Below are 16,884 nucleotides of genomic sequence, written 5' to 3'. Positions count from 1 at the left end.
TACCAATCTAACAAGCTAGTAGGGACCAGAGACACCATGAAGGTAAAACCTTAGTGTTTAATGCTTAGAGCAGTAAATGCCATTGTTTATGTGTTCTAAGTACATCACTCATTAACAGTAACAGGTGAGTATATATGTGCAAGCTATTTTGCTCTGTCTATTCCAGAGCAATTTCTTTTATATATGATTTTCAAATGTAAGTAATTTTTTTAGCTATTTAAAATCACCTATGGATGGGTGGGAAATGAGTCCCTAAATTTGTCAAATATTACAGTTTATCTTATATCCTCATTTTAGAGAAGAAGAAACTGAAGCATGGAAAGATAAAGTAATTTTACCAGAAACCTAATAATCTGTGGCAGGAGTAGGACTAGAAATTCAGCCTGTGTGGTTGATTGGACATGTTGGTGGGAACCTAAAAATCTGTAGTTTATTGCAGTGCTTAGCTACATCCAACTTTTTTCAGCCATTATTTTTACTTTTGCTGCTTGTGTCACAACAGACTTTTTTATGCACAGTTATACCAATTTATAGAAATGTTTACGCTTCCCGAGCCAAGTTCAATGTGGATGCACAGTTGACATAAACTCACAATAGCACTTTTGGATACTATTCAATTATTGGATCTAGTCATTTGACTAATTTAAGTAGAAAAGAATGTACTAAATCAGAAACTCATATTCTGGAATTTGCAGATTAGGTATACTAATAATTGAATGTGAAGAATGCAGGATTAGGCATTTCAAGAAAGGAGCTTAAAGTATAATCTGCAACACATTTTTGATATATTATTTAATTTCCCAGGAAATTTGAGTCCTTATAATACTCAGTAATTATGTAAATGAGAAGCTGAAGGATATATATAGGTAAAGATTGGTAGGTTGGAGTTATTTTGATAAAATTTAAAAAATTAATGGCAAGTAATTAAACAGTATCTGTCTTGTGCCTGGTTTTGTATTGGGCACGATGGGTAACATAAGAAAACTTCAAGCAGCATATAATCCAATGGAAGTAGGAGAAACACACAGAAGAAGCAATTCAAAAACAATTTGGAAATGAGAGAAAGAAAACATCAGAGAGACTTTACATGATCTTAGAACAGGTGATCTAAATAGGCAGAGAAGGGAGGGAAAAGGCCTTATTGCTAGGCAGGGAAGGATGGCATAAGTGAAGGTACACATGCAAGAATATCTATGAGCAGAAACCAGGCTGACTCCAGAAACTATGCGAGTGTCAACGAATGGCCAGCCTGGGGCTTCCATGTTGCTAGTGACACATTACTTAATGTTCATTGTCAGGGTTAAAGGTCGATCATAAGAACATGCCATGTCATCACCATTATAATAGATTTGAGTATGCATTAACTATGGTCATTTCTTTCTATTATGCTACATTAACATTGGTTTATGTTCCCTTAGCAGTTTTTTTAATATTTATTACCTAATATTTGACTTATAAAAATGCAACATCTGTAAAACATTTATATAAATATAACATGTAAAATATATCACATCTATTAGTATATATGATCTATTTAAATTACAAATTACAAAGACAAAATAAACACCCCAAACCCACCACTTAATAATTAGGGCATTTTCAATAACCTTCATATATCCGTGGGCTCCTTCCTTATCCCATCACCCAGCCTCCTCTTACCTTGAGAATAACCAATATTTTGTGTTTGTCATTTTTTTTTTTTTTTGAGACAGAGTCTCGCTCTGTCGCCCAGGCTGTAGGGCAGTGGCACGAAATTGGCTCACTGCAAGCTCCTCCTTCCGGGTTCATGCCATTCTCCTGCCTCAGCCTCCCGAGTAGCTGGGACTACAGGCACCTGCCACCGCAGGTCGAACCCGGGCCCCGCCTGGGTGAAAAACCAGGAATCCTAACCGCTAGCCCGTGTGGGAGACAACTCCTGTCTTTAAATATAGTTTTGTCACTTATGTTTTCCTAAAGAACATATTATTTAGATTTGCTTTTTGGAGCTTTATAAAAATGGCATTCTGTGACTTGCTTTTGTTTAAGAAGCATTAGGCTTTTAAGACTCATTTAATGGTGAGCTGCAACTTGCTATACCAGAGTGGGAGAACCAACTGCCATTTCAGTTTGGCTGCTTGAAATCAGCCACGGTGGGAGTATTCACACCACGGAAATCTTCAATCTCTACAAATCAGGGCTTCCTTTTTTCAGGAAAACAATTGTTGTACATTTACACAGTAGAAATCTGAATGCCTTTCAACTACATACAGGGGATGTATTTGTACATCACTGATTTTATCCATCGCCTGTATGTAGTTGAAAGGCATTCAGGTTTCTACTGCATAAAAAAATTTCACAATTTATCCATTTCCCTATCCATGAACATACTAACAAGGGTTGTTCATATTTCATGCTATATGATACTTATTTCTCTAAGGCATTTACCTAGAAATGGAGTTTCTAGGTTTTAGATTATATAAATGCTCAAGATTTTAAGATAATGGAAAACTTTTCCAAAACTCATATACCTGCCTTATACGAGTTTCTTTTCATCTATGACTTCACCAGCACTTAGTTTTGTCAGCTTTCTTCATCAATGCCAATCAAAAGGTTGTAAAAGAAAAAAGATTGTATCTCTCCATGGTCTTAATTTGCTTTTCCCTGATAACTAAGATAATTTAAGTATTTTTCATCTGCTTGTTGGACTTTTGTGTTTCCTCTCTGTAAAATGTATATTCATACTTGTTACTTATTTTTCTGTTGATGTATTGATTTTTTATTTATTAAATTGTAGGTGTTCTTCATATTCTGAATATTAATCTTTGATCAGTGGCAATTACATTGCAAATATGTTTCCCTATTTGTGGCTTTTCTTTGGGCATCTGTTTTTTGATTTTTAATTTTTTTCAATAGGTTTTTGGGGAAAAGGTGGTGTTTGGTTACATGAATAAGTTATTTAATGGTGATTTCTGAGATTTTGGTGCACCCATCACTGGAGCAGTGTACACTGTACCTAATGTGTAGTCTTTTATCCTTCACCACCCCCACCCTTTCCCCCAAGTCCGCAAAGTCCAATATATCAATCTTATGCCTTTTCGTCCTCATAGCTTAGCTCCCACATATGAGTGAGAACATATGATATTTGGTTTTCCATTCCTGAGTTACTCTCCTTAGAATAATAGTCTCCAATTCTGTCCAGGTTGCTGTAAATGTCATTATTTTGTTCCTTTTTAAAGTTGAGTAGTATTTCATGGTGTATATATATCATATTTTCTTTATCTACTCATGGATTGATGAGCATTTGGGCTGGTTCCATATTTTTGCAATTGCAAATTATGCTGTTATAAACATTTATGTGCAAATATCTTTTTCATATAATGGCTTCTTTTCATCTGGATAGATACCTAGTAACAGGATTGCTGGATCAAATGGTAGATCTTCTTTTAGTTATTTAAGGAATCTCCACACTGTTTTCCAGAGTGGTTGTACTGGTTTACATTCCCACCAGCCCTGTAAAAGTGTTCCTTTTTCACCACATCCACACCAACATCTTTTTTTTTTTTATTTTTTATAGTAAAAAAATAAAAATGGCCATAGTAGGCCATTGTTGCAGGAGTGAGGTGGTATTGCAGGAGTGAGGTGGTATCACATTGTGGTTTCTATTTGCATTTCCCTGATCATTAGTGATGTTGAGCATTTTTCCATATGCTTTTTGGCCACTCATATATCCTCTTTTGAGAAATGTCTATTCGTGTCCTTAGCCCACTTTTTGATAGGATTGTTAGTTTTTTTCTTGCTGATTTGAGTTCTTTGTATTATAGATTCTGGATATTAGTCATTGTCATAAGTATAGATTATGAAGAATTTCTCCCACTCTGTGCATTTTCTGTTTACTCTGTTGATTATTTCTTTGGCTGTGCAGAAGCTTTTTAGTTCAATTAAGTCCCATCTATTTATCTTTGTTTTTGTTGCACTTGCTTTTGGGTTCTTGGTCATGACGTCTTTAAGCTAATGTCTGGAAGGGTTTTTCTGACATTATCTTCTAGAACTTTTATGGTTTCAGGTCTTAGATTTAAGTCCTTGATCCATTTTGAGTTGATTTTTGTATAAGATGAGAGATGAGGATCCAGTTTCATTCTTCTACATGTGGCTTGCCAATTATCCCAGCACCATTTATTGAATAGGGTGTCCCTTCCCCACTTTATGTTTTTGTTTGCTTTGTCAAAGATCAGTTGGCTGTTAAGTATTTGGGTTTATTTCTGGGTTCTCTATTCTGTTCCAGTGGTTTACGTGCCTATTTTTATAATACTACTATGCTGTTTTGGTAACTATGGCCTTATAGTATACTTTGAACTCAGGTAATGTGATGCCTCCAGATTTGTTCTTTTCACCTAGGATAGCTTTAGCTATGCAGTCTCTTTTTCGGTTCCATATGAATTTTAGGATTGTCTTTCCTAGTTCTGTGAAGAATGATGGTGATATTTTGATGGGAATTTCATTGAATTTGTAGATTGCTTTTGGCAGTGTGGTCATTCTCACAATATTGATTCTACCCATCCATGAATATGGAAAGTGTTTCCATTTGTTTGTGTTGTCTATAATTTCTTTCAGCAGTGTTTTGTGGTTTTCCTTGTAGAGGTCTTTCACTTCCTTGTTTAGTTATATTCCTAAGTATTTTTTTTTACAGCTATTATGAAAAGGGTTGAGTTCTCGATTTGATTGTCCAGCTTGGTCGCTGTTGGTGTACAGCAGAGCTACTGATATGCGTACATTAATTTTGTATCCTGAAACTTTGCTGAATTCATTTACCAGTTCTAGGAGCTTTTTGGATGAGTCTTTAGAGTTTTCTAGGTATACAATCATATCATCAGCAAACAGTGACAGTTTGACTTCCTCTGGATGCCCTTTACTCCGTCTCTTGTCAGACTGCTCTGGCTAGGACTTCCAGTACTATGTGAATAGAAGTGGTGAAAGTAGGCATCTTTGTCTTCTTCCGGTCTCAGGGAGAATGCTTTCAATTTTTCCCTGTTCAGTATAATGTTGGCCATGGGTTTGTCATAGATGGCTTTTTTACCTTAAGGTATGAACCTTCTATACCAATTTTGCTGAGGGTTTTAATGTTAAAGGGATGCTGGATTTTGTCAGATGCTTTTTCTGCCTTTACTGAGATGATTATGTGAATTTGTTTTTAATTCTGTTTACGTGGTATGCTATATTTATTGACTTGCATATGTTAAACCATCCCTGCATCCCTGATATGAAACCCACTTGATCATGGTGAATTATCTTTTTGATATTCTGCTGGATTTGGTTTACTAGTATTTTGTGAGGATGTTTGCATGTATGTTCATCAAGGATACTGGTCTGTAGTTTTCTTTTCGTGTTATGTCCTTCCCTGGTTTTGGCATTAAGGTAATATTGGCTTCATAAAATGATTTAGAAAGGATTACCCTTTTCTCTACCTTTTGATATAGTGCCAATTCTTCTTTGAATTGTCTGATAGAATTCAGCTGTGGATTCATCTGGCCCCTAACTTATTTTTATTGGCAATTTTTTTTATTACTATTTCAATCTCACTGCTTGTTGTGGGTCTGTTCAGAGATTCTATATCTTCCTGGTTTAATCTAGGAGGGTTGTATATTTCCAGGAATTTATCCATCTCCTCTAGGTTTTCCAATTTATGTGTGTAAAGGTGTTCATAGTGGCCTTGAATAATCTTTTGCGTTTCTGTGGTATCAGCAGTAACATCTGTTTCATTTCTAATTTGGCTTGTTTGCATCTTCTCTCTTCTTTTCTTGGTTAATCTTGCTATATTTATGTTTTCAAAAACCAGTTTTTTGTTTCATCTATCTTTTGTATTTTTTTTGTTCTTTCAGTTTGTTTTAGTTCTCCTCTGATCTTCGTTATCTCTTTTCTTCTTCTGGGATGGATAGTTCTTGTTTCTCCAGTTCCAGGAGGTAGGAGGTATGACCTTAGATTATCTATTTGTGCTCTTTCAGACTTCTTGATATAGGCATTTAATGCTATGAACTTTCCTCTTAGCGCTACTTTTACTGTATCCCAGAGGTTTTGATAGGTTATGTTACTATTATCGTTCAGTTCAAAGAACTTTTTAATTTCCATCTTGATTTCCTTGTTGACCCAATGATCATTGAGGAGCAGGTTATTTAATTTCCATGTATTTGCATGGTTTTGTGGCTTCCTTTTGGAGTTGATTTCCAATTTTATTCCAGTGTGGTCTGAGAGAGTACTTGATATAATTTTGATTTTCTTAAATTTACTGATACTTGTTGTGTGGCCTATCATATGGTCTATTTTGGGGAATATTTCATGTGCTGATGAACAGAATGTATATCCTGCAGTTGTTGGGTACACTGTTTTGTAAATATCTGTCAAGTTTAGGTCTATTGTTTCTTTGTTGACTTTCTGTCTTGATGACCTGTCTAGTGCTGTCAGTGGGGTATTAAAGTCCCCCACTATTACTGTGTTGCTATCTGTCTCATTTCTTAGATCTAGTGGTAACTGTTTTATAAATTTGGGAGCTCCAGTATTAGGCACATATATATTTAGGATTGTGATATTTTCCTATTGAACTAATCCTTTTAACATTATATAATGTTCCACTTTGTTTATTTTTAACTGCTGTTGCTTTAAAGTTTGTTTTGTCTGATATAAAAATACCTACTCCTGCTCACTTTTGGTGTCCATTTGCATGGAATACCTTTTTCTACCCCTTTACCTTAAGTTTATATGAGTCCTTATGTGTTAGATGAGTCTCCTGAAGACAGCAGAAACTTGGTTGGTGAATTCTTATCCATTTTGCCATTTTGTATATTTTAAGTGGAGCATTTAAGACATTTACATTCAATGTTAGTATAGAGATGTGAGGTAGTATTCTATTCGTTGTGCTGTTTGTTGCCTGAATACCCAAGTTTTTTTTCATTGTGTTATTGTTATACAGGTCCTGTGAGATTTATGCTTTAAGGAGGTTCTACTTTGGTGTATTTCAGGGATTTGTTTCAGGACTTAGAGTTCCTTTTAGAAATTCTTGTAGTGCTGACTTGGGAGTGACACATTCTTTCAGCATTTATTTGTCTGGAAAATACTGTATCTTTCCTTCATTTATGAAGCTTAGTTTCTCTGAATATAACATTCTTGGGTAATAATTGTTTTGTTTAAGGAGGCTAAAAATGGGTCCCCAATCCCTTCTGGGTTGTAGGGTTTCTGCTGAGAAATCTGCTATTAATCTGATAGGTTTTCCTTTATAGGTTACCTGATGCTTTTGCCTCACAGCTCTTAAGATTTTTTCCTTCATCTTGACTTTAGATAACCTGATGACTATGTGTGCAGGTAATGATCTTTTTGCAATAAATTTCCCAGGTGTTCTTTGAGCTTCTTGTATTCGGAGTTCTAGATCTCTAGCAAGGCCAGGGAAGTTTTCCTTGATTATTCCCTCAAATATGTTTTCTGAACTTTTAGATTTCTCTTCTTCCTCAGGAACACCAACTATTCTTAGGTTTGGACATGTAACACAGTCCCAAACTTCTTGGAGACTTTGTTCATTGGAGGCTTTGTTCATGTTTTTAAAATTCTTTTTTCTTTGTCTTTGATGGATTGGGTTAATTGAAAAGCCTTGTCTTTGAGCTCTGGAGTTCTTTCTTCTGCTTGTTTAATTTGATTGCTGATACTTTCCAGTGTATTTTGCATTTCTCTAAGTGTGTCCTAGATTGCCAGAAGTTCTGATTATTTTTTATTTATGCTACCTATTTCACTGAAGAATTTTCCTTCCATATCCTGAATTATGTTTTTGATTTATGTAAGTTGGACTTACCTTTCTGTGATGCCTGCTTAATTAGCTTAATATTCAACTTTCTGAATTCTTTTTCTGGCAATTCAGATTTCCTCTTGACTTGGATCCATTGCTTGTGAGCTCGTATGATCTTTTGAGGGTGTTAAAGAACCTCATTTTCTCATATTACCAGAATTGTTTTACTGGTTCCTTATAATTTGCGCAGACTATGTTAGAAGGAAGATGTAGGATTCAAGAACTGCTGTTCAGATTCTTTTGTCCCTTAGTGTGTTCCCCTGATGTTGTGTTCTCCCCCTTCCCCTAGGAATGAGGCTTCCTGAGAGCTGAACTGTAGTGAGTGTTTTTGCTCTTCTGGTTCTAGCCATCCAGTGGAGCTACCGGGCTCTGGGCTGGTACTGGGGAGTGTCTGCAAAGAGTCCTGTGATGTGATCAGTCTTCAGGTCTTGCAGCTGTGGATACCAGCACCTTCCCCGGGGGAGGTAGCAGGGGAGTGAAGTGGACCCTGTAAGGGACTTTGGTTATGTTTTTGTTTAGTGTGCTGGTTCTGTGTTGGTTGGCCTCCAGCCAGAAAGTAGTGCTTTCAAGAGCTCATTGGCCCTATGAGGATGCAAACTTGCCCTAGGAACACCTGGTTAAGTATTCAGGTTTCTCAGGTGGTGGGCAGGGCCATAGAGCTCCCAAGAAACTGTGCCCTTTGTCTTTGGCTACCACAGCAGGTAAAGAAAGACCACCAGTTGGGAGCAGAGATAGGTGCGTCTGAGCTCAGCCTCTTCTTATATGGGGCTTGCTGTTTCTGCTGTGGTGGATGGGGGTGTGGTTCTCAGTCCAATGGAGTTATATTCCCAGGGAGATTATGGCTGCCTCTGCTGAGTCATACAGGTCGCCAAGGAAGTGGGGGAAAGCCAGCAGTCACAGGATTCACCCAGCTCCAAGGCAGCCCATAGTCCTAAAGGCTGGTACACCCACCGTGCCCCCTCAACAGCAATGAGTTTATTTCCAGGCACACCCACTGTGCCCCCTCAACAGCAATGAGTTTATTTCCAGGCAGCAAGTGATCAGGGCTGAGAACTTGCCCCAGACCATGAGCCTCCTCATCTAGAAAGCAAAAAGACTCACAAATTTTCGCATCTCAGGGAGCCTGCAGCGGTGATCCATTTCCTTCAAATAGTCTGTGGATTCTCTCACCTTTCCTGTTATGTTCCTGCGGTACTTCTTGGAGCAAAAGTTCACGATGTGAGTTTCTACATGCTGCTCTGTCTGTCCGAGTGGGAGCCGCAATCTAGTCCTGCCTCCTGTCCACCATCTTAATCCTGAGCTTCTTTGGGCATATTTTGATAAACAGGAGTTTTTAATTTTCTACGGCTGAAGGTTTCAATTATTTCTTTTATGGCTGGAGATGTTTTTTTCCTGTTGAAGATGTCCTTCTCAATCCAGGTGTAAGAAAAATACTTTCCTATAGTTTATCTTCTAACTATCCAGGTTGAATGTATGGACTGTGTTTTGCTATTATGCTGACTGATGAAGACGTGATGTACCTTAGATGGCATTGGAGTGGCATTACCTGTACTTATTTACATATACAACAAACATTTTGAATTGCTCTGATATTGTTTGTTTGCTAAGTTAAGGAATTTCCATTTTATACTATAGAAAATGGAAATTAAATAAGCAGCTTTATTTTCAGAAAAACAATGAACAAAAGAGGGGTGAGATAGTCCGAGGAGGGCCAAGAAGGGAGTTGATGGAGAAAGAGGGAAAACACATAGACCAGGCAGTATTAGGGCAAATACAAAAGAGGCTGACTCAGGGAGGAAATTCTGAAGTGACATTGACATAATTGGAGACCAATTTAATACAGGGCTGGGAGAGAGGGAGTATGATATTGTCAAGTATGATATTGACATTTCTGCCCAAGAAGAATGACTGGATCAATGACGTGAGAATGGGAGCAGCACGTATAGCAAGTGACAAGGGGCAGAGAAACAGTTCCATTTTCTAGAAATCCAGCTGACAATGTGGGTTTCTAAAGACAAGTTTGAATTAGTGACATAGTTTAGGGAGTAGCCAACTTATAGTTGATCTGTTTGGACCTTAAACAGAACAGGCCTAAAGAGATTACTCCTCAGAATCCACACTTCTCAATTCCTTCTCTCCTTTGCTCTTATCCTGACACAAACAGCCCCAAGGAGTGTGCCAGCGGTAGATATGTGACGTGCAGCTGCAGTGAATTCATGCAAGGCAAGATGTTTGGTTTAGTTTTTTTCCTTTACTTCTTTAATCTTTAAGTGCCACTAGAACTGCAATAAATATTGTTGGACTTAAAACTTACCGAATGAATCTGGGATTTTTTCATCTGGAGAATGGAGTATTGGTAGTGACTCTTCTGTCCTTTCTTCCAGGTTGTCTCCTTGAAGCCTAAATAATTAAAAATGATCATTGAAACATCTCATAATGTTAAATTGTGAAATGTGAACTATGCACCATGGGGGACATGGCTGTGAACTTCTAGACTCTAAACTCAGATATGCATGTTCAAAATAGAAATACAAGTTCACTAAAGCCATTTTAATATAGGATTTTTGCTGTTCTAACCATTAAGGAAAAGTCTTCTATACTTCCTGTTACATACATACCAGGATTTATCTAGGTAGAATCTGCTTTTCTTCTCAGACTGACCGTAGAAAGGTTTAGAAGCACGTATTTTCACTTAAACACCAAAGGGGAATTGAGTGGAAGGAAAACAAGAGGCCAACACAGTGTGCTCACCTAACATCAGGGTCTGGGAGTCATAAAAGGATTTTCCTAATTCCACTGAGGTTTATCAAGCACAATCTTGCAAATCAACCAACCTAAGCTTCAAGGCCTGTGGGTCGAGATATGTCTCAGCAGTGGAGGTAAAGTTTCCTAATGTGTGACTGCCCAGACTTCTCATAGACACTGAGCCTTCTTCAGGAGAGAACAATAAATACAGGCATAATTTATAACTATACTGGGTTCAAATGTTATACTGTTATATAAGTTGTAATTTTTATAAATGTTATAATTCTCAGCCATTTTATGTCTTTGCTTTTATATACCACAGCAGAATCTCATATAATTTGCTTTTTGACTTCTACAAATTCAAGCATATATGCATATCTCTTGATCTTTTGTATAATTACAAACAATGTAAATTATATGTGCACCATAATTTTTATAATATTAAATTCTGCACATCCCTCTATTATACATTTATACTTACTTATTACCTTCTGTATATGAAATCACATTTACTGTATTGTATAAGAAAATTAAAGAATTCTCAAGGGGAATTTCCTGAAACTTGTAACATTTTTTGCTAAGCTTTGTGTGGTTTTGTACTTTTAATTAATTTTTTAAATTTTTTCTTGGGAAAAAGACCACTTTAAATAAATTAGCTACATATTTTTCAAATATTCTCTACTATTTCCTTTTTATTGTATTCACTTTGGATAAACAATTTTAATATTCAGCAATAGCAAATATTCTGTTTTGAGCTCTCTTTGTCCAGGACCATTCTATCAAAATCATATCAAAGAGAGAAGGTACAGAGGTGCATTAAATATTTAAAGGTATAAGTAAAAATTATTATTGAAAATTCACAATGAGCTCCAACACATTGGGATATTTAACATTAAGTTAAAACCCTAGGCCAGGTGTGGTGGCTCACTCCTGTAATCTCAGCACTTCGGGAGGCTAAGGCAGGTGGATCACTTGAGGCCAGGAGTTTGAGTCTGCAGTGAGCCATGATCACGCCACTGCACTCCAACTGGGGTGACAGAGTGAGCCCCTGTCTCTAAAAAAAGTAAATTTTTTTTAAACCTAAAAAGAAAATAAATCTCCAACAAAGACAGAAAGAAGCAAGATCTTAAAATAGTGCTGTAATTTTTGTTTGCTTGTTGTATGCATCAATAAAACTTTTGTTTTATTTAGCACTTATTAATATGCTCAAGCATAAACCAAATGTCATAGAGATGCAAAGAAATTATAACTGTTCCTGACAGGCTTTAATATAGCTCAGTTGAAGAGACCAATGGCTATGGATTAAAAACGCAACAAATTGGGTGGCCTTGCAGCTGGCTCGTCCTTGTCCACACGGTGCCCTCCAGATACCTTAAGAGCTGAGTTTACTGTGACTTGGCACCAATTCCATTGCGGAATGCTTCACAGTCCTGCCATCCTCGAGTACTCTGCCAATGTTTCCCAAGCTGTAACCCACACAGCACCACTTCTGTAAGAGGTTAATGGGTGCTATGCAAACAAGGGGTGTATGGGCAAGTCCGGGAAATACAGTCTAAATAAAAGTTAAATTGCTTTTTGTTTTTTTACCATAAGAGTTTTACTCCTACTCCCAAAGCTTTTTGCTTTGCTTTCTAAAACTCCTTTTCCATATTAAACAGACTCCCTTATATTTTCAGCCCCTAAACAGAATGTTGGCTGCTCCTCCTTTTCATATTGGAAAGTCTCACCTAAGAATATCACATCCCTTTTCTCTAAGGGTCTTCCAGGACCTCCTCTCCCAGGGAGGCTGCCTGACCCACCAAACTGAGATAGCACAGGATTATGTATAACTTTCTTCTCTCTGCCTGCAACAACTTGGGTCAGGCTCAGAATTTTCTTCTTCAACTCAAGTGTTATTTTTATCCTGAGTGATTTTGATATTCATGTGTATCTACCTACTAATCTTAAAGTCCCTTGACCTCCTCACATTTGGAGATCTTCCCTTCCACTTCACCTTCCTTAACCCAAGGACAGACAACTTGGAATTGTTTCATGGCAGATATCTGTAAGTCCAGTGTTCTGGTCTCCGAAAACAAATTCACCTCCTTCAGGCTCTTTCACAGTGTCACTCTCCTTAACACTTTCTACGCAACCAAATATTAACAAATCTCCATTTCCCTCTTCTTTCTCCTAGGTATCAGGGAGTGTCCCCTCCTGCTTCCCTGTCTCCGAAAACAAATTCACCTCCTTCAGCCTCTTTCACAGTGTCACTCTCCTTAACACTTTCTACGCAACCAAATATTAACAAATCTCCATTTCCCTCTTCTTTCTCCTAGGTATAAGGGAGTGTCCCCTCCTGCTTCCCTGCCTTCCCTGCTCAGTTGGGACTCATTGTCTCAGCTCCTCTGCACCCCTGTCCTCTGTCACTCCTGCGAAGGCAGACTCCAAACCTATATTAACCCACCATTTTCCCGCACATGTGCCACTGAACAATAATCGAGAAAATCATCATTCTAGGATTGGTGACTATAAATCAGTGGTCTCTAACTTTAAACTTGAACTTCTTGATTGTCTTTCTTTTTTCCATTCCTTTCAAAGTATTTTCAAAAATCTCACCATCAGCTCTCCTCTGTGTCACCCAGAACAATTATGTAATCAGGAGTACAGACCTCATCTTGCCCTCACACACCACCTCCAGAATTATTTTCACCCTAATCTGTATTCACTACCTTTCCAACGCGCAGAGCGCAAGAGGCCCTGTCTCCTGTGTAAGGCTGAGACTATCCATTATGCTGGAAAGATTTGGATCTCAATGTCTCATCAACCTATTTTATCCACTATCACCCCCCAACCAGTATTTTTTCTGTTTTTTTTTCCCACTATCATTTCCCACAGCATATGAACAAGCTCACTTCTCTTTCAGTCTTAAAAAAAAACCCACAAAAATTAAATACCTCCCTTAATTATATAAAATAACTAGCTGTTTCCTTTTCATGTTCAATCTTCTTTGAGCCAAACTCCCATATTCTTCATTCAATGCCTTTACGTCCACAGTTTTTATTCACTCCTACTCCTCAACCTGTTTTAATTTGGTTTCTGCCTCTACCACTGAGAAAACAGCTTATGCTGACTGTATGACCTCCTAATTGCCTTGCACAATGGGAAATTTGCATCTGTTGTCTTTATTTGACCTTGCGTTAACCTCTATTTGTTCTTAAGGCTGTCATTGCTTTTCTTCTGTGGCCCTTCTCTCTCCTGCATATCTGACTACCATTTCTCAGTCTCTTTTAAAGGCTTTCTCTCTTTGTAAACCCATAAATATTATATTTTCCCTCAGCTCTATCCAAGGCCCTCCTTTTCCCATTCTAATCATCCCCCTGAATCATCTCAACCACTTTGATAGTTTTATTAAGTTCATATAGGTTGAGATATTTTAAACCTTTATCTTAAACCATCAGCTCAAGATTGGTGTACCCAAATCCTTATAGGACATATTACTTGTATGCAAGATAAGCACCTCAAAGGCAACATGTCCAAAAGCAAACTCATCTTCCGAATCACTCTGCCTCTCATTGCACATGGCTAACCAATCTGTCTTGCTGAATCTACTTCTTAAAGAAATGTCTCGAATCTATCACTTCTTTATAGTACCACCATAGTGTGATTTCTCATCTTGATTTGTCTGGATTATTGTGTAGTTTCCTTACAGACAGCCATACTTAGAAACCCCTTTTCCATAAGGCTATCAGAATGTTCAAAACACAAATCCAGCCATATTTTTCTCATGCTTTAAATATTTTAGAGCAAGAGGTCTTCACATTATATTCATGTTAACATTATACTCATGTTAAGACATAAGTATACTCATGTTGCTCTCAATATTTTAGGAGTATAATGTCAAGACCTCTTGCTCTAAAATAAAGTATGAGAATAATATGGCTAGATTTGTGAGTAAGCAGTCTTAACATGAGTATATAATCACAATAATTCACAGTGGGTGGAATGAAGAGTTGTGGGTGGATGTGATCTTTTTTGGAGAGAGAGACAGTAATTTTAGCCAGCTTCTCAAAATAATCCTTGACTCACAAGGATTTTAGAACTACCATTTTTATTGGCTTCTCATTACCTACAAGATGAGTTATGGCTTCCTTCGTAAGTCATTTGAGTCTCTATATTGCATAATCCCTACCTGTGTCTGCAAATTCATCCTCTTGGATCCTCCACCATGGATTTTATACTCCATAAACTCCAAACCGCTTTTGCTTTTTTCAGGTGTTTTGTTATTAAGCCTCTGTGTCATTATACTATTACCTCTGGCAGAATATATCTACCCCTCCCCACCACGCCATCCCTCTGCATTTTACTATTTGGCTTATTTCTAGCTTTTCCTTCTAGATTCTCCTCTTTTCTGAAGGTTTTCTTCCAAAAGTCTTAGCACCTGTGCAAATCTTTACCATAGCTCTTACTTCAACTGTGACTGAATTATTTATGTAGATGTCTGTGTTTGCCAAAACACTGCAAGTGTCTTAAAGGAAAGGATTTTGTTTTTCCTATTTTTATGTAATTAAAGTCTAGCTTAGATAGAGCTTGGTATATTTTAAACTCTAAAAGAGATTTCTTAAGGTACTTCTTAGTGATTATTTCATCTTGGAGATAAAGAAAAGAAAATATGGCCCAGCCCTATATTGGGGATTTTGTATAGAATACTATAGTATACTTATAATTATATTCCCTTGAAAAGTGGTAAAAATCATGCTGCATATAGTTAAGGTTAAGTAGCTCTTAGCTTGGTCCTCCCCAATGCAGGGTGTGAGGCAGAGGCTTATGTGTGAGTGGTTGTTTGACCCGGGAGGCAGGAGTGAGGGACATGAGTATAAAACATGAAAGGAGGAAAGGCAACACAGCATGAGTCATTGAGCCAACCCTGGACAGGTGGCTGTTGCTCAACCCCACAAGAATTTTTGAGGAGCCTAATGAGGTGTGCCCACTGAAGGATGAAAGGACAAAGCATTTATTCATAGGCTTCTGGTCAAGGGTGGGCCTTGGGCACTAAAATCCCTGAGCATTTGAGTTGCACATATATATGTATTGAATGATTCCCATTGGCCATCCTGGGGCAGGAAATAAGATCTGGAAGAAACCTGGATGAGGCAAAATGCTGAACTTTGCATTTGCACAAAGTTGCTTGTCCCACCTTGAAGCATGGGAAGAAATAGTTGTCAAGAAGAGGTGAGGCAGAGAGTATTTGAAGTGGGATACAAGTGGGGCTGATAAAGATAGTAAATGTGATTGAATTTAAAATAACTGACTGAGATTTGATTTTATACTGGCCAGTGAGATCTTGCTAGAGGAAATGCTGTTATAAATATTAGTAAATTCTGTTCCAAGGTTTGTGTCATTAATCACCTTCTATTGACTTAGTCTTAACAGTGAATGAGGCAATGAAAGTTTGTATCCACAGAGATTATTGTACCTATCACAGAGCCTATGATAGTACCTAGTACATGTGCGTGATCAATAAATATTTGTTAAATAAATGTTGCTGAAAAGTCTCTGGCACTTACAAAATAGACTTAAGGAAGATGGACTAGTCAAGAGAAAAGAGGTCAGAGCTCATTAAGGGGATTGGTTGCGATAGCAGTAGTTACAATTTTGCTTGCTTGGTGATGTTATGAGATCCAACTGATCCTGATGTTTCACTCTGTAAGAAAAAGCAAGGAGACTGAAAATAGGACCAAGTAGCAGCCAATTACTGGGCTAAAAGGATCAGTAAAGATACACTCACAACAGCCGAATCCATAATGAGGAGGGAGTTTTAAATAATACAAACAGTAAGAGAATGGATGGTGATTTGTGCTATTTTTTATACTTTAAAAAACCAAAACACCCAATAAGGTGATATAATTCCCTTAAAAAATTCCCTGATGTCGAATGTCCATTCAGTTAAACCATGTAATGGATGAGAGAAGATTTAAATAAGCAAATTAACAATTTTTTCATGTTGGACTGGAATGGCATTCAGATTTCAGGTTCATGGGCAGTCATCCTTCTGTACATTATCATGGAAAAGCACACACACTCATACACATACATAAAATATTTTTAATCTTCCCTGAATACTTTCTGGAAGAAAACAGTATCTAACTAAAGAGTAGACATTTGTCAAATGTTTTTTTGAATTGAATAAGAATTGAATACGTTGCAAGTAACAAACAATATATCCAGATAGGTAAGATAAATTCAGATGCAGTCTTGCAAATCAAACAAGAGGAACTAAACTTCATGTAGAAGGAAGCTTTGAAAGTTTTCATTCATATGCCTCATAGGGTAAATGCACTACTAAAAACATAATATTC

At 37.3% G+C, this 16,884-nt stretch overlaps 1 protein-coding gene across 10 annotated transcripts in view; it reads right to left on the bottom strand.

Moving 5' to 3' along the window:
- C8orf34 (chromosome 8 open reading frame 34) overlaps nt 1–16,884 on the bottom strand; it is a 488,651-nt gene that overhangs the window by 99,826 nt on the left and 371,941 nt on the right. For 9 of the 10 annotated variants that reach the window (NR_146186.1, NR_146187.1, XM_047421328.1 and 6 more), the window contains one exon: nt 10,119–10,204. Coding sequence is in view for 7 of the 10 variants with exons in the window: in XM_047421328.1 (XP_047277284.1) it covers nt 10,119–10,204 (86 nt within the window). In the remaining 3 variants the exon portion in view is untranslated. Of the gene's footprint in view, nt 1–10,118; nt 10,205–16,884 lie in introns of those variants that run through there. The other variant, XM_011517449.3, reaches the window with a different exon arrangement.

This window comes from Homo sapiens, chromosome 8 (genome assembly GCF_000001405.40).
Source record: "Homo sapiens chromosome 8, GRCh38.p14 Primary Assembly".
Classification (NCBI taxonomy): domain Eukaryota; kingdom Metazoa; phylum Chordata; class Mammalia; order Primates; family Hominidae; genus Homo; species Homo sapiens.
Note: the sequence above shows the minus strand (reverse complement) of the source record. Positions and strands in the feature narration are given on the sequence as shown.